This window comes from Homo sapiens, chromosome 2, assembly GCF_000001405.40.
Source record: "Homo sapiens chromosome 2, GRCh38.p14 Primary Assembly".
NCBI classification, from domain to species: Eukaryota; Metazoa; Chordata; class Mammalia; order Primates; family Hominidae; genus Homo; species Homo sapiens.
The window spans coordinates 242,080,602-242,106,666 of record NC_000002.12 but is presented as its reverse complement, the minus strand read 5'-3'; the positions used below and the strand labels follow the sequence as shown (position 1 = coordinate 242,106,666).

Below are 26,065 nucleotides of genomic sequence, written 5' to 3'. Positions count from 1 at the left end.
GGTAGAGGGAGTGGGGGTGGGTTAAAAACAACTACCTATTGGGTACTATACTAACTAGGTGACAGGATCTGTACTCCAAACCCCAGCCTCATGCAATATTTTCATGTAACAAATCTGTACATGGACCTTCTGTATCTAAAATAAAAGGAGAAGAAGAACCAGTAAGCACAAATAACCAGACAACTCTGAGTAAGAACCACAATGGTGAAGACTCTAGCCCCAGCTGACATGAAAACACAGTATTAAGCCTCTCTATTTACATCAGTGTGATGAGGGAAGTCCATGAAGACAGAGAGAAAACCCTGTAGCCCCAATTGCCCATGGAAATTTAGTATGGGAAAAAGAGATATCTCAACACAGCAGGAAAGGGGCTTTTCAGTTAGTAGTGCTGCTGCAGTAACTGGACAGCTACTGCACAAAGACACAAACAGATTTGTTCCTCACGTCATGCTCCAAGATAAATTCCAAATGGAGCATAAGTTCTCTTCTCTCTCCTGAGGCATAATTCATATACAGCAGAATAGACTTTTAAGTACAGTTCAGGGAGTCCTGACCTGTGTACCTCCTGTAACACATACCCAATCAAGACACCATAGAAAGCTCCATATAGCTATTAAGTCAATCACCAGGGAGGCTCACCACTCTGCCTCTCCTTGGGAGCTAAGAGGTAAGCCACCATCATGAGTCCTGTGCTGACGCAGGCCCCAGACATGACTGACAGCACAGTCAGACTACGTGATGTCTCTGGCTTGCCTATTAATTTTCTTAATGATGACTTAAGAAGACTTTTAAAGATGATTTTAGACTTGCACAAGAGTTTCAGAGGCAGGACACACGGTGTCCCCAAGTTTCCACCCACCTTCATGCAGCCATAGAACAAGGATCAACACCAGAAGAGGAACTCTGGCATGGTACTCCCAGCTCAACCACAGGCTTTGCTGTTTTGCCAGGCCACCCACCAGAGCCTGTCTGCTGCTGGGCCCAGTCCAGGATCCACACTGTACTTAGCTGACACACTTCCATGGCCCCCCATGCCAGAAGAGTTTGTAGTCTCCTCTCATCACCTTGAAGAGTACTGGTCAATTATTTTGTAGAATGTCCTTCAAATTGGGTTTGTCTGCTGTTTTCTCCTGATTCAGCTTAGGGAAAACCACCACAGATGATGTGCCACTCACACAGCACCACATCACAGGTACCTGCTGCCAATATGATGCCACCTTTGAGTTCTTGGTTGGGGCTGTGTCTGCCAGGTTTCTCCACTGTAAAGTATTGTTCCCTTTGTAATGAATAGCTATTTGGGGGGAGACTTGGCAGATAATTCTATTTCTCCTAATTCTTTCACCTGTTAGATTTCACCTTGCTGCATCTGTCAAGGGACTGTGCTTATAACAATTATCATGGTGATTTTCTATTTCCCTTATTCCTTCTACATTTATTAACTGGAATTTTACAAGGAAGAACTGTTCCTTATCCCTCACTTATGCATTCATTTATGTATTGATATCAGCCTAAATGGATGGCTATTTCTTTTCTTTTTTAGGTTGTAATCCATTACTACTGTTGTCTATCCTGTGGCTCGAACTGCTCCAGCTTTGGCCAATGCAGCACTTTTTGACGGACATCTACCCTTCTGATATCTGACAGGCTGCCATCACTCACCTTTCATTTGCCCTACCCCAGCCCTGGAACCAACCCCTTCCCTGAGGAGCCCTTAGGATCCACCATCTCAGGCTGGCTCTGGTCACTGATGCAGGTGTCACTGCTCTAAGGCCCTCTGTCGACAGACTTAGAAAACAGATGTGTTACACTAACTCACACATGCATAGACCCACATTTCTCTCTCTCTGAAAAAACCAACAGCCCTAGTTCATGCTGACACCTCCAACCCTGATCCAGAACCACAGGATAACTCTAGCACCATCCTTCCTTATTTGTAACTTCTTCCTAGAATACGTACAGTTTTGAGATTGCTAACCCATGCCCCTATGAGAAACAAGTGCACTAACCAGAGGTTTTATCTTTAGCCTTACAGCATCCTGTCAAAACACTGTTTTCCAAAGTTACTGATAGGTCAGCTAATTCCACATCCATTTCACTATGGTTATGGCAGCATTCCCTAACCGTTTTGGCACCAAGGACCAATTTCTTAGAAGACAGTTTTTCCACAGACTGGGGCGAGGAGGGGGGATGGTTTCAGGATGAAACTGTGCCACCTCAGATCATCACACTAACATCATAGTTAGAGTCTCAAAAGGAGTGAGTGAGCAACCTAGATCATTCACATGCACAGTTCACAATAGGGTTCATGCTCCTATGAGAATCTAATGCTGCTGCTGACCTGACAGGAGGCAGAGCTCAGGCAGTAATGCTTGCCTGCCCTCTGCTCACCTCCTGCTCTGTGGCCCAGGTCCTAACAGGCTACGGACAGGTACCGATCCGTGGCCTAGGGGTTGGGGACCCCTGGATTATGGGATAAGTTTGTAATACCATTTGATTCATCTGTCACAGTTTGTATCACTTGGGCACTCCCCCCAGTAACACACACACAAACATCTTTGTTGATTTTAGTGAAATTTTGTGGTGCACAGTTCCATGGGTTTTGACAGGTGCACAGTCAAATCTAACACAGTCCCATCACTCCCCAAACTGCCTCTCGCTCTCTTTGTAATCAACTCCTTTTCCCCAACTCTTAACCCCTGGCAACCACTGATTTGTTCTTCTTCCTTATGGTTGTGCTTTTTCTAGAGCATCCTTTAAATAGAATCATACAGTATGGAGGCCTTTTAGGTTTGGTTTCTTTCACTAAACAAAACGAATTTAAGATTCATCCATGTTGTGGGAATTAATAGTTTGTTCCTTTTGACTTTTGAGTGGTATTCTGCTGTAGAGATGTTACCACAATTTGTTTATTCATTCACCAGTTGAAGGATATCTGATTTTGAGTGTTGGCAATTACTGAATAAAACTCTATTAACAGTCACATGCAGGTTTTGTGTGAGCATGAATTTTCACTTACCTTGGGTAAACACCTAGAAGTGAGACTGCCAGGTCCTAAGGCAGTGTAACACAGTAAGAAGCTGCCACACTGTTTTCCAGAGTGGCTGTGCCATTCTGCATTCCCAGTAGCAGGATTGGAGAGCATATTCCTGCCAGCACTTGGCACTGTCCTTGCCAGCACTGGGATGCTTCGTGATTGTTCTTTCATCTTAGCTACTGATGTAGGCCTGTGCTGGTACCTTATGAAGAAGGTGCACAGCCTTCCAAATCACCTAGGCCCACTGTGGCAGTCTCATTCCCCAGAACATACTGTTATATCTCTAGCTGGTCAGCTGCTTGCCCCAAATGGTACTGTGGCCTTAGGCTAGCTGCAGTGTTTACCTTCCGGATTGCTTGCATTTGTTTCCCTAACAATAAATTATGTTGGGCATCACATGCTTATTTTTCTCTGCTTATTTGCATGGGCTTCTCTGCAATCCATGCAAGTTGTTTGGTGAAGTACAGGTTCACCAAAACTATTCCCCAATTTTTTACTGGGCTGTTTTCTTATTGTTGAGTTTTAAGTGTTCTTTATTATTCTGGATACTAACCCTTTGTCAGATATGTGACTTACAAATGTGTTCTCTGAGAGTAGAATTTTAAAATTTTGATAAAATGCAAATTATAGATTTTTTTCTTTTATGGATTGTGCTTTTGGTATCATATCTAAAAACTCTGCCCAAGATCATGCAGACTTTCCTTTGGGTTTCTTCCATAAGTTCTACAGTTTTACATTCTACATTTAGGTATATGATCCATTTTGAGTTCATTTTTGTATAAAATGTGAGCTGTACAGGTTATTTATTTATTTATTTATTTTTGCATATACACATCTAGTTTTCTAGTCCATTTGTTGACAAGATTACACTTTCTCCATGGAATATATTAAGAGGTGCCTTTACACCACTGTCAAAAATAAACCAACCATATCTGTATGGACTTATCTGGGGTCCTCTGTTCTGTTCCACTGACCTGTGTATCTATCTTTTCACCAATACCACATACCACTCTCTTGATTGTGGTGATTTTACATTTTATAGTAAATCTTGTTCTTTTTTCTTTTTCAGATGGAGTTTTGCTCTTGTTGCCCAGGCTAGAGTGCAATGACAGGATCTCTGCTCACCGCAACCTCCACCTCCCAGGTTCAAGTGATTCTCCTGACTCAGCTTCCTGAGTAGCTGGGATTACAGGCACCTGTCACCATGCCCGGCTAATTTTTTTTTTTTTTTTGTATTTTTAGTAGAGACAGGTTTTCACCATGTTGGCCGGGCTGGTCTTGAACTCCTGACCTCAGGTGATCTGCCCGCCTTGGCCTCCCAAAGTGTTGGGATTACAGGCCTGAGCCACCACGCCCAGCCGTTGCTCTGCCTTTCTAATGATGACTTTAGGTATAAGTTTTTAATATAAAGTTTATCTTTTTTTCTTTCACAGCTTGTGGTTTTTGTGTGGTAAGCAATCTGCCTACTTTACATTGTGAAAATATTATTTTCTTCTTAAAACTTTACAGTTTTAGCCTTTTACAGTTCATTCTACAATCCATCTAAAATTAATGCTATGTCCACAGTAAGAGTGAGTAGTAGAGTTTCATTTTTCCTTGCATGTTTATCCAGTTGAAAAAATCTTTCCCTTCCCAACTGAACTATGTTGGTTGAAAAAACTTTGATTTCTCCTGTTGTTGCACTGTGCATCCTAGTGTTTTGTAAATTAACTATTCTTATCTTCTTAGTTTTTTATAAGTGTAAACAGGGGAAATATAATTATAATTTCTTTTAAAAGAGCTCTCTTACTTAATAAAGAAACAGGCTGGGCACGGTGGCTCACGCATGTAATCCCAGCACTTTGGGAGGCTGAGGCGGGTGCATCACCTGAGGTCAGGAGATCAAGACCATTCTAGTCAATATGCCAAAACCCTGTTTCTACTAAAAATACAAAAATTAGCCAGGTGTGGTGGTGGGTGCCTGTAGTCCCAGCTACTCAGGAGGCTGAGGCAGGAGAATTGCTTGAACCCAGGAGGCACAGGTTGCAGTGAGCCGAGATCACGCCACTGCACTCCAGCCTGGGTGACAGAGCAAGACTCCATCTCGGAAAAAAAAAAAAAAAAAAGAACAAACGAACGAACAAAAGGAAGGACAGGAAAGGGAAAGGAAAAGAAATAAAATGTCTAATGTTTTTTGCCCACCAAACTAGTTAAAGTAATTACAAAGACAAGGCTGCTGTAAACACCTTGTGCACTGTCCCCACAACGCAGATGGCATGGGAGCAGACAGCACCTTTAGATGAAGACACACATGCAGCCTACACAAGGCACACAGATGCATTTCAGCCATTATTCCCTCATGATGAAACCCTCCCCTTGTGCAGTGTGTAACCTGAACTGACACACACACATCTTGGGTGAAGTGTGAAGTAATGGGAATCTGTGTACACTACTATTCAGAGTATAAACTGGTGCAAAATTACAGAAGGTAATGTGGCAATACTACAATTTTAAATATACAATTCTATTAGGAACTTAGATTTCATAAGTATTCACACAAGTATGCAAAGAGATATTCACAGATGACCCATGCTATACTACCAGAAATAATGAAAAGTGGGAAATAGCCAAAATGATGTCAGTGGAAGCTTGGACAAATAAGTTATGGTATACCTAAACAATGAAATGCCATCATTAAAATGAATGAGGAACTCAATGCACACTGACATGGAACAACTTCCAGGAAATACAAGTGGAGGAAAAGGATGAACATGCAATGCATTAGGAGAACATGCTGACACCACCTCACTGGAAAGGGAAAGAGGTGCATGACCTGTGACACTGTGGTTCTGTTCCTAGGCACAGACCCAAGGACCCTGTGCAAGGCAATGCAGATTTAGATGCTATTTCAGTTAATGGAACTCTACCTTCCAGCTGCTCAGGCCAAAGTCTTAGTCTCACCCCTCGACCCTCCTACTGCACCATACACATTCCATGTGTCAGTTCCACCTGCAGAATACACCCAGGATTTGAGCCCTTCCTCATCCACCACCTCCTTTCTCTCCAAGCCATGATCATTTCCCATGGAGGTTAACCCAAGCCTCTTAAGAATTGGTCCACTTGCTTCTGTCCTGCCTCTTGGAAGTCTGTTCTTAACACAGTAGCCAGAATAATCCTGTTAAAGCATAGGCCTGAACAAATCACTCCTCTGCTCAAAACCCTGACTCCCTACTTCACTCAGAAAAGCCCAAGTCCTTACTATGACAACAGGTACTTCACAGCTGGGACCCAGTCAGGCTGGGATCTTGTCTCCTACCGGCCCCGCTTCTGGGCTCCCCTTATCCATGCTGGAACCCTGCTGTCCCTGAATATGCCAGATGATGTACTCCTGCCTTGAGGTCTTTGCACTTTTTCTTTCCCTGCCGGGGAGGCCCTGCCCTCAGACATCCATTCATCCTGCTCTCATTGCCTAAGGTTTGCTTCCACAGATGGCTTCTTAGAGGCCACTCTCTGTAGATCTTCCTCTAACACCACCCATCCTTAGCATTTCTTATCTCCCACATACTATCACAATTACTACACTGTGGAACTCATCTTGTCCACTGCCTATCTGTTTCACCAGAATGCAAGCTCCATCAGACATGGGTTTTCATGTTTCATTTATTGCTGTATCCTGACACCATAGCACATAGTAAATCCTTAATATATTGTGGACTAAACAGGTGTAACAGTATGTGTAATAATAAGACGAGAGACATCTCTAAGTCTGGCTCCTGGGTAGATTTTATCTACCCAACAAAGGAGTAGAGGTAGGACTCCGGCCCATGCCATTTCCAAGGAAACCCTTTCTGGAGGGGTGGGGAAAGCTGTGTCCTTCCCATCAAGAGCAAAGAAAAGCCACTACCACTTATGTAGGAAAAATCCCTATGACTCTACCCCTGGGGGTAATCAACAGGCAAAGGGCAACACACTTACTGTTCCCTGTGAGATAATTAACAAAAATAAGCCTCTGTTCAGAATATCTCAGGTGTTCTGGACAAAAAATAAAGATTCAGGATAAAGTTAATGAAGATGAAAATTTTAAATCAACTTAAGGTTCTGAGAAAAAGTCTGATGGCTCTGGATTTCCTGGTGACACAAGAGATCCGGTTGTTTTGAAAAGATGGAGAAGGAGTATGTAGGGAGCCGAACATCAGAGGAGAGTGAAGGAGTTTGAAATATTGATAACACAAAGAGGAGTAGAGCAGGCCAACCAAGCAAACACAGTGGGGCTGTGGGCCGCATGGGGGCCCTACAGGCACATAGCAGATGACCAAGAAACATCAGTTTACAGAATAGTGGAAGAATAAATGAGTGAGCAAGTGAAAAGAGCAAATAAATGAGTGGGTGAACAGGGAGGAGCAAGCAATGGGAGAATAAATTCAGCAGAAAGCAAGTGAGTGAATTGATGATGTCCCCACTGTGTTCTCTGGTGTGAATCTTCTTTCTTATATTTCTTAGCTGCTCATGTGTTGGTTCATTCAGGGTTGGGAATATGCCGTTTGAGTGTGTTTTTTAAAAAAAGACTGGGATGGAGTTTAGGGTAGCGGCAAGAGTGTTACTGAAACAATGGATCATGGAATAGAAGCTGGACAAAAGGAGACATGATAAAAAGAAGGTTGATAGGGTAGAAAAAATAAGGCAACGGTTGAGGTGGTAGTCAGGAAATCTGGAAGGTGAGAAGATTACGCTTAAGGACTGGGATGCCCGAATTCATGAGTCTGGACCATGGGAGTGGGTGGCTGAGACAGAGAAGAGAAGAGGAGAGGAGAGAAGCAGATCCTAGGAACAAAGAGGACAGTACTAAGGCCAGAGGCTGTGAGTCCCACAGGTGGACACTGAAACCACCAGGCAACAGCAGGGACTGGGGTGGAGAAAATGACCACGATTCTTTGCAGACTCTGACATCTGGTGAGCATGACTATGCAGGAGGTGACTGTGCAGAAAAGGATCTGAGCTAGAAAAGGGGAACTTCACCCTTCACGTTCTATGCTTCAGGACTGCATGAATTTTCTGTTGTTTTTCATTTACAAAGAGCACATGTTGCTTTATAATTGACAAAACCCACAAATTTGGGGAAGAGATAATATTAAAGTCAGAGAAAAGAGTTTACAATCCAGAGAAAATCATTAATTTAAGAAGCACTAACAAATACTGCTTGAAACAGTGCTGAGTCTGACACTGAAATTAATTTTCTTTTTCTTTCCAGTCACTAAAGAAAGGGTATCAGGAAGGCCATCTGGATTTTTGCTGAAACCTGTAACAATACTCTAAAGATCCTAAGGGGAAAATGCCAATGTGCTAACAAGGATATTTACTTAAATGGATACAGGATGTCTCCTCTCCAAGGTACAGTGGCTTTCGAGCCCAGTACACACTTCAAGGGCTAGAAGGATCCCCTGAATTCTCTATCCCTCATGGTAACCAGAGACTATGTTCACATTCTCATAAGGGAACCAAAAATGTAGCTTCTTCTATCTTGTTTCCTTGGGGGATGCACAATTTAAAAATGCTTTTTATAGAATTCCATTATCTTGGGATATCCTGGGAACTACTAGAGTTGAAGATAATTTTGGTAGAACCTTAAAATACGATGGCCCCCATTGCTAAGCCCACTGAGAACCAAATTACCAAAGTAAGTGTTAAGACATTCAAATTTGAATAGAAAATATAATGTTTTATGAGGTATAAAAAATAATGCAATAAAAAAGATTTAGAAAATTCAATGCAAAGAACCCAGAAGCATCTCTGCCAAGACTGAGCTGAATGCATTATGTTTGACTACACACTCCCTTGTCAAATGTCAACTTCATAAAAGACAAGGAACAATTTCTTATATATCCTCAACAGTGCCTATAGTTATACTGAAATAACTATAGGCAATTACAGTGCCCATAATAACACTGAAATCCGATGGAAAAAGTTAGAAATTCTTAAAGATATATAGTATCTAGACACTCTTCTTCAATATCTTTCCTTTATAGGAATCATACAATTTCTGTCGTCAAACATAAAACTGAGTGGCAGGAACACTATGCTGGAGAGAAGACCCAGCCAGATTATTTACTTACACCATTTCCCCAGCTGAACCCTCAGAGTCCTTCTCAGGGCCACCCTTTTGGCTAGTCCAATCAATCTGTGACTCACTCTTTTACTGATCCTGACCCTCTGTCCAGCTATGCAGACATCACCATAGGCAGCACTCAACATTTCTCACCTGTCTACTGAAACCCTTAACTGGCTGTCCTCTCTTCAATCTGGACCCCAGCTGATCTACCTTCTATTCTGAATCAACAGCCTAATAAAAGGCTTCCTTAGGTCAGGGTTAAGATGAATCCTCTGTCCATCAAACTATGTTTAAACCTCAGTAATATCATGAATGTTGCTTGAAAGAGCAGCTTAATCAAGGATTCAGAGTATGAACTGGCTGGCTTCCCCCAGATCAACCATGTTGAATTGCTTAATTTCTTCCCTATGTTCTCTAAACTTTGAATACTAAAATGAGTTGAAAAGTAAGCAGAAGGATACTAAAGGCCTATTTTCCCGCACGTTCACAAAAAAGAAAATTAACAAAGTGACGTAGAATCTTGATTACCTAAATTATTTTTACTATAGTTCTTTTTCTAAGTTTTGAAAGCCCACCTTAAATCAAAGAATTAGGGGTACTATGTTTCTCAAAGACATGTGGGGGAAAGAGAAGGTCATTTATATAGTGATTTTAAATGGTGATTACATATGGTCTTATCTTTTTAAAATCAATTTTAGGTTCAAAGTTAAGCGGTTTTTCCTTCCAGAGAAAGGATATATTAAACATCTGCTGCAGTTTCAGGTCACCAACAGCCTCTACCCACAGGTTTGGATTTGCATTTTGGTAGGAACGGACAGAAGTCCCAGGAAGATGAACGAAAGATGAACGAAATGGCAGAGTAGGAAGCCGGGGCGGTCCCAGTACTGCAAAGCAACTAGGTGGGGTAAAAGGTGGTGCTGACTAGTTCTCGCTCACTGTGCCCCACAAAGGGTAGCCAGGGTTGCTGTCATAAAACCTTTTTGCGCAGGGACGCTTGTGTTAGCAGCCATTGATTCAAAGGGGTGGATCTGTAGGTAAGTTTGGGGGAAGGGGAAAGGGAGACAGAGGGGTAGCCAGTTATGCAAAGAAAACATATCTCGACTGTATTCTCTAATTTTATGTGTGCAGCGCAAAAAAAAAACAATTCTCAGACATTTAAAATGTGTTTGAGATGATGGGAAAAAGAATACATGAGGGAAAAAAACAAATTCCCACAAATTCCTCACCGCAGATGCAGCAGTAACACTGTACTTCAAGCATTACAGCTTTTTTTAAATTGACATTCTGTAATATATCTCCCCATCCTAAAATCCACATTTAATAGTGGCTATTGGGAGTAAATGTGAGACACCTAACATTTCTAGATACAGCCAACCAACTTTAAATTTTAAAAAAATTGCCGTAAAAAATAGTAAAAATGACCTAGAGAATTCATAACTGTATAACATTATGCAATACCAACAGCATAATTACAAGCTTTAAATAAGTTTTACAGCTATCAACATTAAATACATCTTAGTGTGGCAGAGAACTGCTACAATATAAGTTTAACAAATATTATGTGTTATCCTCACTGTAACAAAAATAGAAAATTAATTTCTGCTTCAAATACTGCAAAAACCAGTCTCTGGTCTAAAGTTACTAAACTTCTGTCAGAAAAACATATGGCCCATCAAGCACACAGTTGATAATTACACAAATGTAAAATAATATACAATAAATGACTAGACCCATGACATTCTAGAGGAGGCTATCTCAAGACCTTCCTAGCCCTCCAAATTCTCAAACACCACTGTGGTAGACACTGTAGTCATCATACGATAGCCACCTACCCTGGTTCTGTGCTCATGCAGTCTCTGGTTTTTATCTGGACACACGGCTGGGCCACAACCCCCAGCCTCCCTTGCACTAGTGCTCTAGCCAACAAGGTGTGGGCAACGTGATGCATGTAACTTTTGGGCTGTGCCACTGAAACACAGGTTGTGTCTCACCAACCCCACCTACCCTTCGGCCTGAGTGCAAATGTGGAAGGTAATACACCGTTTTGGACCATGCAGGTAAGGCTGCACTCTTGGGATGGCAGAGCAACAAGACAGACTGTGCTTGGCCCCTTGACAATGTTACGAGCAAAGTCATCATGCCAACTCAGGCTTTCAAGGGAGAAAAACTGATTTGTCTTGTGTAAGACACTATTATTACATTTCTGATACATGCCACCAAAACTGTGTATTTTAATTTCCTCAGGTTCCTCAGCTATAATGTGGGATTAATAATAATACCTCTCTCCCAATTATTGTGAGGATTAAATGTTTTAAATTACAAAAAAAGAAAAAAGCATCTGTGTATGAATATTAGGCAATCTACTAGCCTCATTTTTTAGCTAAATAACTTGTTTCTTCACACCAGCCTTCTGGGTGGGCAAGTCTCAAAAGTTATGGAGCTTTGCAGGGACTTGAAAAATAGGTAAGGCCATACATGCTAAACTGGCAAATGGCATGGTTCTGCTCAGCTGTAACTTACATGCTGTGACTGATGTTACAATGGTTATTCTCTCTTTCAAGTTTCTGACTACAAGATTCACAATTCTTCCAGCCATCTTCTGTCTTAATCCAACTCCATCCAGGAGATCTCCAGTCCTGACCCAAAAATGGCATAGTTCTCCTATGAAAAAGTTAATTTATGTTAAAAAGTATATATAATTCATAAAAGTTTCTTTTCACTTAGAACATTTATTCATTAATTTTAAAGATTAAAGTTCTTAACATTTAAATGTCTGCTCATTAATTAAATGTTGGCTGGACATTGGTGACAGTGACAATAACACAGTACTTTGATTGTACTAAAGTGATAAAATGGGGTAAGTAAACGTGGTTTTACTGGCCTAATACTGCATATCCCACGAAAGGTTTACCAGAGGTGACATTCAAGCTCATACCTGAAAAACAAGCAGGGGTCAGGGAGTGTGGAATAGGGAATATTATCCCAAACAAGTATTCTCTTTACCAGAAGTTAGGAGCAACCAAAAATGAAATGTATTCATGTTCAGCAACTCTAAGTAGTTCAGTTTGGTTGAAGCTTAGAATAGATGAGAGGGAGTGGGCCAGAATTAAGGATGGAGAAGTCATTTAAGGCTGGATCAAGTCAGAGGAGTTGGATGCTATTCTGAGGGCAATGAGGGGCCAAAAAAGGGAAGTAAGCAGGTAAGTGATTCAATTAGATTTGTGGTTTACAAAGAACTCAGTATCACACTGGGAGAAGGTATGGGGTGAGGATCACCTGCAGGAAAGTAGTTGGGACTGGAGGCTTCTGAATGTTGATTTTTAAAAGGTGAGAGTGTACAGTGGCAAAAGAAACAGAAGAGCAGAGACTACAGAAACATTTAGGAAACAGAGTCAAACAGTACTTGAAGACTGGCTGGAAACGTGAGGAGGAAATCAAGGAAGTTATCTAGATTTTGTTTTGTAGCCCCTGGTTCTGGGATAAGACATACAGAAGGAACAGCAGGGTTTTATTAGGAAAGGAGAGATAAGGGATATTAATTTCAGCTTCGGACATGCCTGTTCAGTTTGAAATACTAGACTCCAGGTATAAAAATTATGACTTAAAAAATGATGCAACTTCGTGATTAACTTCATGAAGCTCACAATTTGATAAGAGTGAGACTTCAAATGCTAGTTCTTCCCATTAACTTGATTTCTGCTCCTCTTGATCAGTGATTTTCAACTACTGCTGTGCATTAACATCACAGGAAGGTTTTTAAACATTCAAGTGCTTAGTCCCATTTTAGTTGAGTTAAATATGAATATTTGGGGGTGAAGGCTAAGTTTAAATAGTTTTTAAAGGTCCACAGGTGATTCTCATACACAGTGAGACTGTGCATGAGGCTAAAAACCACCTCAGATGTTCACACTGCTGATTCAAAATGTCACATCCCAGAAAGGCTCCCTGACTCCCTGTCCAAACAGTGCTGTTCTGCTGCCTCAACCCCATCCCTACCAGTCTAAGTCATTATCTAGTGCCTTCATAGTTGTAAGGGCTGTCTGAAATGATTAGCGTGTTTATCATCTGTTTTCCTCCAAGAAAATGCAATGTCTTGTTCAGGTCCGTATTCCATTACCTTGAACAATGCCAGGAAAACAACAGGAGCTCTATAAGTATTTATTTACTGAATGAATAAATATATAGATCCATGGTTCAGAAGAGAGTTGGACTAGAGAGAAAGAGGAAAATCATGAGCATTTAGATACTAATCAAGACCACACAAATAATATCACAGAATATGTCGAGAGGGAAATCAAGAGAGCCAAGAAAAAAACCCTAAGAAACATCACCATTTAAGGGACCAGCAGATATAAGCCAAAAAGAAAAACTGAAAAGGAAGAGCCAAAAAGGTAGAGGGAGAAGTAGGAAGCCAGGAGAAAAATGTATTTCAAGAAAGAAATGATCGACAGAGACGAAAATGTTATAAAAACGCCAAGCATGGCAAGAGTTGAAAATATACGTTGAATTTAGCTACAGAAAGGTAGCTGAATTACTCAAGTAAAAGTGGTTTCTGTAATGTGTTACTTTAATTTCACGTCCCGAACAGACTTGAGTATTTTATAATGTAGAATATTTATATCGTAGAGAATAATGTAGAATATTTACATCATGGAGAATAAATGAGAGATGAACATCTCCAAACACCACCTCCCAACTATATTTAGTATAATTAACAAAAAACAAGTTATTAAATGGGCACTTATACAATCCTAGAAGATACAGAAAAAAAAAGGAAGGAAATTACATAGACTTCAACAATATTCCTGGATCAACCACAAATGCTTAACTCTTGACTGGTGTAGGAAATGTATGATGAAGTAATTATTCTTTACACGAAGAAAATCTCAAACCTTGCTAAACTGACTTATAGTCAGAACATGTCTTTTTCAGTCACATAATGATTAATTTAAATTCTTGCTTTAGAAAATACTTTATTCCTTAAATTTCAGCACAATTTTGATAAACTTTGTCTCACAGAACTGCTTCACAACTACTGAACATCTTAAAATGCAAAACTCAATGCCCATGTTCAGTCGATCTAGAGTTATCTAAAACTATCTCTAATAGCATACAGCTGATTTTATGATTTTCAAGAACATTCCCACCAAAGGCAGAAAAGACCATGAAGTAGCAGATGCCTGTTTAAGTGGCACCTTGAGTCTCATAAAACACATTCAACAGAAAATGGCTGCTAGGAACATCTCTGATAATTATCAAATTATCTCTCAATATCAACTTGAAACTGTGGATTCAGAAATATATATTTTAAAAAAAAATCAAGTGGATAATCCTGAAAAATACTGCTAACAGATTTTGTTACTGCTAACAAATACAGGATTTGTATTTGTTACTGCTAACAAATACAGGATTACTTCAACGACAAACATTTGAGCACCAACTACATGTTATTATGCTAGGTGTTCCTGCCCTCAAAAGTGTGCAATTTAGCTAAGGAACTAAAAAAGAACAATAGCAAAACACAAATTCCATACAAGTGTACTATAATAAAGTGTGTTTACATGTAGATATGTGAGTGTGCATGTATACATACATACACATATGTCCACAATCTTGTAACTTGTGGTAAAGAGAGAATAAAGTTAATTTGAGCAGAAAGCAAATCAGCTGGGAAAGCTCTGACGAGAAACTAGGACTTGATCTTGGCCCTAAAGCATGGTTAGATCTTAAATTAATGGAGAGGCAAGGCAAAAAATATCAATCATGGGAATGGTGGGTGCATAAGTATAAAGGTCAAAATGTGTGCCACAGTTTGAGAAAAATAAGCAGAAAAGATTGGATAAAATGGAGAAAGTTTATCAGAGGACTGGTACATAAGCTGGGAAAGTGACTAGAAGCCAGGTCATAGAAGAATATCAAAGAATATCAAAGGTGTTTAGACTTTATTCTGTCAGTAATTAAACGTTTTTCAGCAACAGATCAGTGTGAGCAGTGTTGTTTTGAGAATAATAATTTTCTAGGGCTTGTAGGATAGATCAAATGAAAAACATGGAGACAGAAAAAAACAACTAGGCAACAAATATCTTGCCAACAGAACCTTATCTGGATGACTGTCCTATGTACATCCCGGTATCCTCAGCTGACAAAATATTTTAAAACGTGATGACACACAAATATTGTACTTACCTATTTAGACACTATGCCCACTCATCATTTAATACACTTATCTTCTAGTTTCACAAACAATCTTTATAACATTTACATAAAGAGCCTGCCTACTGTTTCCATTAATATAACCAATTCTTTTACAACTACCTAAACTCTACAGTTAATTCATTTTGGCAACTCAGTGAGAAATGAATAGTTTGGTCTGAATTTCTCAGCTGCTAAGTTTGATTTTTTTAAGGGTTGAAAGGAGTGAAATGCAGCCATGGAAATAAAAAAATAGTCCATGCCCAAAGGCTTATTTTCAACACAGAGGAAAAGATTTGTTTCTCTGAAGATGTGTGTGCTTCACAGATTTGTTATGGTATGCTCTTTGGATCACAATGAAGTTTTTCTTAAAGCATAATCTATACAGCTCATGAACTAAAGCACAAACTCTGGATGCAGATTAAAAACAACAACAACAACAAAAAAAGACAAGTTGCAATTTAAAAGGTCTGGGGTCTGGATCTCAAGTTTTCAAAAATACTCCCAAACTGAGGCTTCTGAGTTTGTAAATCAGAAAACAATGCTACTAAAGTTTTATAGAATGATGACAACCCACGGCTTTTAATGGGAATGTATTTGTTCAGCTAAAAAAATGTGAATTGCTAGAGCTTTGTACGCTTATTTTAATTAAAATTACCTTTATTTTGGGATTTGCAAATACAAAAAAAAACTAGAAATTACTCCTGAAAATTATTAAACTTTTAAGAGCAAGCACTCAAAGGGTGTAGCTTGTATAATTTGCAAATTTTAAGCACATTTTATGCCAACTTATTTCAGACAGCCTACAATGATTAACTATTTTAAATCTTCCCTTAATTTCTATTTCATGTGGTAGGACATGTGGGTGGGGTACTTCAGTAGAAAATGACTTCATGAAGTTCATTTGCTGGTGGAAACTCTTGGCATGAGAGACTCAGAACAAAAAAAAAGTCTTTCCTTCAACAAGCATATTTTTTCTTTACAATAATAATGGCAAACATTTATTAGAGCTTACTATAGGCTATGCATTACTCTAAACAATCTACATATGTTGTCTCATTTAATCCTCATGCTGTCCTCCAAGATAGAAAACATTATTCTTGTTTTACAAGTTTCATTATCTATTTTATAGATGAAGACACTGAGGCAAAGAGTTCAGTGGAGCTGGGATTCAAAATGATGGAGTCTCACTCCGGGATCCATGCTCCTACCCACTATGTTTATAATAGCAGTTCCTGAAAACCCTATTAAAACAGATGCCATTAAATTATAAGCCTTTTAACTTTTTTTTTTACCGTCTATTACAGATCACTAATATGATTTCAAGTAATGATGAATCTAAATATAAAGGCACTAAAACAAGGAAAACAAGACAGGAAAGAAAACTCTAATCCATTTTAAAAGACCACATGTGTTTCCCTATTTGTTTTGCTTAAAAGTGTGGACAAATTTGATCCAGAAAGGACATTTAAAAAAATGGCACACTGAGGGCTGAGAGTCAGAAATAAGATTTACTGTAAGGACTTACAGATAATCACAGATTCCTCATGGGAAAGGTAAACATGTAAAGACGAGGAGAAAACAGAATATGAAAGAGTAAACGTCTTTTTTGATTAGGGCCGGATGGTAAGGATTTGGAGGCAGCAAGAGACAGCTTCATAAGGGAAGAAATGGTTCTCTAGATTCTTTAGTCTTCAAAATGAGTTTGAATAGACCCAAGGACAGAGGTGGAATCTAATTGAGAAAAAGGTCAAATTGAGCTTACTGTGAGGGGAAGGATGCAAAATTAGTGTCTGCTGCAAGAAAAATAAGCATGGAAAGAAATTAAGGGAGGAGACAGAGACAGAGCCAGAGCCACAGACCAGGAGTAGGGAAAAAAAGGTAAGCAGCAGACGGGGCAGAGTGGCCTGGAGGAATGAGGGGTCACACCTAGCAGGTGCCCACCGGCGAAGAGGCAAGGGCCGAGCCCGGAGGGCAAACGCCGGCAGGAGTCGTCCCCGAAACACCTTGCCCAGCGAGGCGGACACAAGCTCGGGCCTGCAAGACGGCCCAGGAGGGTGGGGGCGGGAAGGGGTCGCAGAAGGTGGGCAGGGGAAGCGGCTGAGGACACGCGATGCACCTGTGGGCGGTCCCCGTGCCCACCTGACTCGCCCGCAGCTCCCTGAATGAACCCTCCACACCCGCCGGCCGCCCCCAGACCCCACCTGACGCGCCCGCGGCCCATCGTCCCTTCCTGACGCGCCCGCGGACCCAGACCTCAGCAGACGCGCACGCGGCAATCCCGTCCCCATCTGACGCGCCCGCGACAACCCCGTCCCCACCTGACGCGCCCGCGACAACCCCGTCCCCACCTGACGCGCCCGAGACCCCCGGTCCCCACCTGACGCGCCCGCGACCCCATGTCTTCCCCTGACGCGCCCGCCGCCCCCGGTCTTCACCTGACTCGCCCGTGGCCCATCGTCCCCACCTGACGCGCCCGCGATCCCCAATCTTCACCTAAGGCGCCTGCGGCGCCCAGTCTTCACCTGACGCGCCCGCGGCACCCCGTACCTACCTAGCGCGCCTGCAGCCCCCAGTCTTCACCTGACGCGCCCGCGTCCCCCAGTGCCCAACGGGCGCGCCTGCCACCTGGGCCGGCACCTGACGGCGACCAGGCGATTATTGCCGGAAGTGGGCCACCGCCTCTCGGCGCGCCTCAGGGAAGCCCCGCCCCTGGCCATGCTGATTGGCCGGCGCGGATTCGCGTGGCAGTGTTGCTGCCGGGTCCTGACGCCCGCAGCGTGCGCCTGCGTAGTAGGCACTGCCCCGCCGTCCGCGCGCGCCCAGAGTGCCGGGCGTGGAGGTGTGGGGGCGCGGGGGCGCGGGGGCGCGGGGGCGCGGGGGGGCGGGGGCGGGGGGGCGCAGGGACGGGCGCGGTCAGTGCCTGAGATCCCTGCGATCGCTGGGAGATGACGGTGAAGACCTGAGATTTAGGCCTGCGCGGCGGGTGACGACGCCGGTCCGGGTCTTCACTGGAGGACGCTGGCCGGGGCCTTCAGGTGTTCTCGTGGCCTGAGGACGCGCGTCCCTGAGAATGTGCGTGCCCGCGCCGCGCGGGTCCCACAGGAGCCTGGGCAGCCCCGCCGCCGCATTTCCACCCTGCGGCCGTATTTCCACCCGCTGGGCGCCAAGCCCGGGATGACTGCACTCTAGGGCATCACTGCGCGCTCACACTCAGCATTCAGGCACAAGCACGTTCTCTTTATAAACAGTTTCGAATCTTGTCGAGTCTTTCTAGAAGGTTGAAATGCCCTGGAGGAGCAGCGTGAATAGTTTTTTCCAATTAGGAAAAAAGAATGTGGGGCGGCTGGAGGGAGAGAGGCAGGCCGAGAAGGCCAGGTGCGTCCAGGAGCCGCAGCCCCCGTGCCTCAGTTTCCTCCTAGAAACATGGAGGTGGCGGTGCACGCTACAGGATTTCTGTAAGAACAGATGAGTTAACGTGTGCAAAACATTTAAAACAGTGTCTGGTGTGTAGCAAGCAAATATGAGTATTAGTCTTTTCCTTGTTAAAATGTGTGCATCTACATTTGGTGCACATTACAGGAAGTGTATAGTATGGATTCATATTTTGGAAAAGTAATTTTAGAAGTTATTTCTGATGTGCTTATTGTAATAGTGTTTCTTGACCACATGCTTTTAGATAATGTGAAGGCAATGAAGCAGGCAATATTGCTTGCACATCCCCAATTTAAACACCTGTCTGTCCCTCCTTCCCTCTCTCCTTTCTTTTCTTCCTTACCCTCTCTCTTTATTCCTTCCTTCATTCCCTTCAAGGTTGCGGATTATTCCATTATATAAATGTATCAATTTATTAGAATAGTTTCTATGATGTCTATGATGGGCTTTAGATTGTTTGCAATAGTTTGCCATTACAAATAATGCCCAGTAGTGCTGTGGTTTGATTTAACTTGTGAAGGTATATTTCCAAATAAATCGCTATGATTGGATTGTTGTGTAAACCAAAAAGTGTCTGAGGCAGATCACAACTGATATAGAGGTTTATTTTGCCAAAATTGTGGATTTGCCTGGGGAAAAAGAAACACAGGTTACAGTAGGATTTTTGGCCTGTACTTTTTTCCAAATATTTAAGGGAAAAGCGCCGGTAGGAGGGGAAAGAGGGGAGAGTAGGCTATGAGGCAAGTGGTCACATTTTTGTGAGGCTCTGATTAGAGTACAGCAAATCTACATTTCACATGTGAAAAGAAAGGTATGGGGGAGGGTTATACATCTGTCTCATACTCAGTAGATCTACATTTCACATAAGATAAAGTAAGCTTTTGGGAACAAAAAGAAGGCATGTATGTGTGTGTGTGTGTGTGTGTGCGTGTGTGTGTGTGTGTTGCCAATATTAACTTTTCCCTTTGGCATAGTAAGTTTGGAGGCCTGAGATTTTATTTTTCTTTCACTGATGTGTCAAGATTAACTGCATATGGAATACTAGTAGAAATTGCCAAGCCAAGACCCCACCACCACAATAGGGGACATAGTAATATTAAATTTAGCCCAATTGGCCAGCATCCACACAATTCCTAGTGAAAGAATTCCTGGCTGGATGGTAAAGAGGTAAACTAACTGCAGAAACTCACAAAGCAACAAAAGAAGTCCACAGAATAAGAGCAGGAATTCAGAGAGTAACCACAGAGAGATCCACAGAGTAACAGCAGGAATTCACAGAGTAACAGCAGAACCCACAGTGTAACATCAGAGCCCACAGAGTAACAGCAGAGCCCACAAAGTAACGTCAGAACCCACAGAGTAACAGCAGAGCCCACAGAGTAATGTCGGAACCCACAGAGTAACACAAGAGCCCAGAGAGTAACAGCAGGACACACAGAGAAATAGCAGGAACCCACAGAGTAACATCAGAGTCCACAGAGTAATATCAGAACCCACAGAGTAAAAACAGGACCCACAGTGTAACATCAGAGCCCACAGAGTAACAGCAGGAATTCACAGAGTAACATCAGAACCCATAGTGTAATAGCAGAGCCTACAGAGTAACAGCAGGAACCCACAGAGTAATAGCAGGAACTCAGAGTAACAGCAGAAACCTACAGAACAGGATCAGAAACCCATGGAGTAACAGCAGGAAGCCATGAAGCAGTTCTGTCCAACTTAGGTCAGCATATTCATGGTCTTGGGTCTTCTTTGTGTGTGCTTTCTACCAGGACTGGGCTTAGCTCTGTGCTTGTGAAGAGTAACCCACTCAGTGCCCTCTGAAATTTCGCCACTGGAGGAGGAGAAAAACCCCAGAGGGGCGGGGAGAAACGCTTTTCAAAACACATGGTGCAGCTGGAGATTGTGGTGCAGTTGCCCAGGCAGAAGGCTCGGCAGGGGGAAGTAGTGACCAGGAGGGAGGTGCCTCCTTAACCACAGAGATTTTTTGGCAACCAACTTATTGAAAAATCACGTTTTAAAATTTTCTTTAAGTCAAACCCTACAGAACCTAAGGAGCTGGCTCCTCCTGGCAGGAAGCTGGGAGAGTGCTGGTCACAGTGCACCAGGTGCCCCCTGCCTCACAGGGGCTTAGGGTGGTGGTGAGCACAGGGGCCCCACGCTTCTCCAATGCACACCACACAGTCGTCTCCTCTGACCTTCCCAAATGCTGCACGGACAAGTGTTTGTAGTCCCTAACTCTCAGGACAATGTAGACTTGGTATACCTTCGGGCACGGGGAATCCCATCCTTCTTCCTGTTCCTGCCGCTCTGAAGCATGTGGTGTATGTTTAATGGGGATTTTACACAATATGGGAAGACCACTTCTGCTTTCTATGCAGTGATAATACTGCAATAAGAAAAAATGAACCAAGCCACCAAAACAAAACAGTACCACCTGATGCAGAACTAGGAGGGAAACACAGCAGTGTCTCAGAGCTAATGCAGCAGCCAGGCACCACGACGGTGTCATGGGTACAAGGAGGAGGTGTCTCAGAGCTAATGCTCTGTGCTGACAGCAGCCAGGCACCACGACGGTGCCATGGGTACAAGGAGGAGGTGTCTCAGAGCTAATGCTCTGTGCTGACAGCAGCCAGGCACCACGACGGTGTCATGGGTACAAGGAGGAGGTGTCTCAGAGCTAATGCTCTGTGCTGACAGCAGCCAGGCACCATGACGGTGCCATGGGTACAAGGAGGAGGTGTCTCAGAGCTAATGCTCTGTGCTGACAGCAGCCAGGCACCACGACGGTGTCATGGGTACAAGGAGGAGGTGTCTCAGAGCTAATGCTCTGTGCTGACAGCAGCCAGGCACCACGACGGTGTCATGGGTACAAGGAGGAGGTGTCTCAGAGCTAATGCTCTGTGCTGACAGCAGCCAGGCACCACGACGGTGCCATGGGTACAAGGAGGAGGTGTCTCAGAGCTAATGCTCTGTGCTGACAGCAGCCAGGCACCACGACGGTGTCATGGGTACAAGGAGGAGGTGTCTCAGAGCTAATGCTCTGTGCTGACAGCAGCCAGGCACCACGACGGTGTCATGGGTACAAGGAGGAGGTGTCTCAGAGCTAATGCTCTGTGCTGACAGCAGCCAGGCACCACGATGGTGCCATGGGTACAAGGAGGAGGTGCCTGGTTTTCGGGAGCTTGCCATCTGAACAGACCCAAGGTGGCAAATACACAGTGAGAAAATGGGGCCATGAGTGCTGTAATTACCTACAGAATGTTTAGGGGGACTGGGAGCAAAAACAATCCCCTCTTTCAGAAACCAATCCTGGAAGGTGCTGGAAGGTTGTACTAGCTGTGAAAGTCAGAGGCCACCAGGCAGCTATCGTGAGACCAAAGGCAGTAGTCAGCTCAGGCAAGCCGGTTTCCTTATTTATGTCAAATTCCTCAGTCTTGGGTCTCCTTATCTTTTAAATAAGGAGTTAGAATAGAATTTGAGGGCTGTTCACTCAGGCATCCATGGTGGCTGCAGCATAAGGAGTGTGTGGTGTCAGGATGGGAAGGGCAACATGGAGACTGCATGGCCATTGACGTCTGAAAGTCTCTGGTTGCCAAAAAGAATCTATCTACAACAGCATTCATCCTGACAGCAGCCAACAGGCAGCCTAGACCTGGCATGCCACAGCTCCTCTAGGCTCTGAACCCCTCTCAGCTGAGCCTGGTAGATGCCAGCTGACCGGCTGCAGCCCCTGAGTAGAGGTTGGCTGTCCTAGCAATAGAGTAGGGCGGGGGCACAGCAGACATGGGACCATCATCTGGATTCCTAGACGTGCAACTGCAAGTGAGTACATAACCTCCTGAGCCCCAGCTCTCACCTGAAAGCTGAGTTAGGCGCACACACAGGAAGGCAGAGATGGGTCCAGGGCTGGGCTTCTGGTTCCTCTACTCAAACTCTGCTGCTCCCTGCCCCTCTGCCATCCCTGCAAGCTCCTCACTGACCATGCTTGTCTCAAGCGTTCTCTCTTCCTCCTGACCTCCTGGGGACTTCATAAATCCAGTATCTTTTTAAAATAATCTATTATTTTAGGCTCAGGGCTACATGTACAGGTTTGCTATACAGGTAAACTCATGTCTGGGGGTTTGTTGTACAGATTATTTCATCACCCTACATGTACAGGTTTGCTATGTAGGTAAACTCATGTCTGGGGGGTTTGTTGTACAGATTATTTCATCACCCTACATGTACAGGTTTGCTATACAAGTAAACTCATGTCTGGGGGGTTTGTTGTACAGATTATTTCATCACCCTACATGTACAGGTTTGCTATACAAGTAAACTCATGTCTGGGGGGTTTGTTGTACAGATTATTTCATCACCCTACATGTACAGGTTTGCTATACAAGTAAACTCATGTCTGGGGGGTTTGTTGTACAGATTATTTCATCACCCTACATGTACAGGTTTGCTATACAGGTAAACTCATGTCTGGGGGTTTGTTGTACAGATTATTTCATCACCCTACATGTACAGGTTTGCTATACAGGTAAACTCATGTCTGGGGGGTTTGTTGTACAGATTATTTCATCACCCTACATGTACAGGTTTGCTATACAGGTAAACTCATGTCTGGGGGTTTGTTGTACAGATTATTTCATCACCCTACATGTACAGGTTTGCTATACAGGTAAACTCATGTCTGGGGGGTTTGTTGTACAGATTATTTCATCACCCTACATGTACAGGTTTGCTATGTAGGTAAACTCATGTCTGGGGGGTTTGTTGTACAGATTATTTCATCACCCTACATGTACAGGTTTGCTATACAGGTAAACTCATGTCTGGGGGTTTGTTGGACAGATTATTTCATCACCCTACATGTACAGGTTTGCTATGCAGGTAAACTCATGTCTGGGGGTTTGTTGTACAGATTATTTCATCACCCTACATGTACAGGTTTGCTATACAGGTAAACTCATGTCTGGGGGTTTGTTGTACAGATTATTTCATCACCCTACATGTACAGGTTTGCTATACAGGTAAACTCATGTCTGGGGGGTTTGTTGTACAGATTATTTCATCACCCTACATGTACAGGTTTGCTGTGTAGGTAAACTCATGTCTGGGGGGTTTGTTGTACAGATTATTTCATCACCCTACATGTACAGGTTTGCTATACAGGTAAACTCATGTCTGGGGGTTTGTTGGACAGATTATTTCATCACCCTACATGTACAGGTTTGCTATGTAGGTAAACTCATGTCTGGGGGGTTTGTTGTACAGATTATTTCATCACCCTACATGTACAGGTTTGCTATACAGGTAAACTCATGTCTGGGGGTTTGTTGTACAGATTATTTCATCACCCTACATGTACAGGTTTGCTATGTAGGTAAACTCATGTCTGGGGGTTTGTTGTACAGATTATTTCATCACCCTACATGTACAGGTTTGCTATACAGGTAAACTCATGTCTGGGGGGTTTGTTGTACAGATTATTTCATCACCCTACATGTACAGGTTTGCTATACAGGTAAACTCATGTCTGGGGGGTTTGTTGTACAGATTATTTCATCACCCTACATGTACAGGTTTGCTATGTAGGTAAACTCATGTCTGGGGGGTTTGTTGTACAGATTATTTCATCACCCAGGTATTAGCCTAGTACGCAATAGATAGTCTTTCTGATCCTCTCCCTCCTCCCACCCTCCAGCCTCAAGTAGGCCCCAGTATGTGTTGTTCCCCTCTGTGTGTCCATGTGTTCTCATAATTTAGGATATGAGGATAATGGCCTCCAGTCCCATCTATGTTCCTGCAGAAAACAGGATCTCATTCTTTTTTATGGCTGCATAGTATTCCATGGTGTATACGTACCACTTATTTTTTTTTTATCCAGTCTATCATTTTTGGGCAATAGATTGATTCCTTGCCTTTGCTATTATGAACAGAGTAGTGTGGGCTTATAGTCCCAGCTACTCAGGAGGCTGAGGTGGGAGGGTTGCTTGAGCCCATGAGGTGGAGGGTGAAGTGAGCTGCGGATTGCAATGAAAAAACACGTGCATGCATCTTTACTGTAGAACAATTTCTATTCCTCTGTGTATGTACCCAGTAATGGGATTGCTGAGTGGAATGGTAATTCTTTTAGCTCTTTGAGGAATCACGATACTGCTTTCCACAATGGTTGAACTAATTTACGCTCCTATCATCAGCGTATAAGTGTTCCCTTTTCTCTGCAACCTTGCCAGCATCTGTTATTATTTGACTTTTTAGTAATAGCTACTCCGACTGGTGTGAGATGGTATCTCATGATGGTTTCAATTTGCATTTCTCTAATGATCAGTGATATTGAACTTTTTAAAATGTGCTTGTTAGCCACATGTATGTCTTCTTTTGAAAAGCGTATGTTCATGTCCTTTGCTCACTTTTTAATGGGGTTGTTTGTTTTTTTTCTTGTAAATTTAGTTCCCTATGGATGCTGGATATTAGACCTTTGTCAGATACATAGTTTGCAAATATTTTCTCCCATTCCATAGATGATCTGTTTTCTCTGCTGATAGTTTCTTTTGCTGTGCAGAAGCTCTTAACTTTAGTCGGATCCCATATGTCAATTTTTGCTTTTGTTGCTATTGCTTTTGGTGTGTTCGTCATGAAATATTTGCCCTTTCCAGTGTCCAGGATGGTATTGCCTAGGTTGTCTTCCAGGAAATCAGCACCTTATGACTTGTTTCAGTTATTTAAATCTTAGCCCAGCCCTGCTCTCTACTTAAAACAAAACAAAATGAAACAAACAAACAAAAAAAAAACTCAGTTCCCCATGGAGACTGAAAGCCCTCTGAAGGCTGAGATGAAAGTCTTATACTTTTTGGAGCCTTGAGTGTCCACCTCTAACTGTGGAGAAGGAATGGAAAGAGAGGTGCAACACACGGGCTGCACATCTAGCTGGAAATGTGCAATCCAAAGGGCACGACTTTTGCTGAAACCCCGGGAGTGGGCCAAGGCCGCAAAGTCAGTCAGATGTGGTATCAGTGTTTGCTCATTGTGTTAATGATTATTTCTATGGTGACATGGCTTTTTTGTTTCTCTGTTGCCTTACACGAGATCCAAGCAATGAGACACACACAGCCCAAGCAGGGATGGCAGAACTCAGACCCGGACCAAACTCCTGGCTGCAATTTGTTCATACAACAGGTGGTGTCTGTCTCTGTTGTCATTTGAGCCTGGAATTCCTACAGCCTTCTCCCTATGTCCACCAAATATGAGGCCACTAGTGGCTGGGTGTCCAGGCAGCAGGACCTCTTAGCACTGGCAGGGCTGGCCCTCAGACAGCCTCTGACTTC

The 26,065-nt window shown here is 43.0% G+C and overlaps 3 long non-coding RNA genes across 6 annotated transcripts in view; 2 read left to right on the top strand and 1 right to left on the bottom strand.

Moving 5' to 3' along the window:
• Nucleotides 1-18,034, bottom strand: part of LINC01881 (long intergenic non-protein coding RNA 1881) — a 71,871-nt gene extending 53,837 nt beyond the window's left edge. For all 4 annotated transcript variants that reach the window (NR_130701.1, NR_130699.1, NR_130702.1 and 1 more), the window contains exons 1-2: nt 17,866-18,034; nt 11,640-11,780 (exon numbers count right to left, since the gene is read on the bottom strand). This is a non-coding gene — a long non-coding RNA (long intergenic non-protein coding RNA 1881). The remainder of the gene's footprint in view (nt 1-11,639; nt 11,781-17,865) is intronic.
• Nucleotides 18,035-18,101: 67 nt separating this feature from the next.
• LINC03100 (long intergenic non-protein coding RNA 3100) lies at nt 18,102-19,316 on the top strand. The gene has a single exon (NR_186294.1). It is a non-coding gene; the product is annotated as a long intergenic non-protein coding RNA 3100 (long non-coding RNA).
• Nucleotides 19,317-22,528: 3,212 nt separating this feature from the next.
• Nucleotides 22,529-26,065, top strand: part of LINC01880 (long intergenic non-protein coding RNA 1880) — a 36,455-nt gene continuing 32,918 nt past the window's right edge. Inside the window, exon 1 of the long non-coding RNA NR_146651.1 lies at nt 22,529-22,571. This is a non-coding gene — a long non-coding RNA (long intergenic non-protein coding RNA 1880). The remainder of the gene's footprint in view (nt 22,572-26,065) is intronic.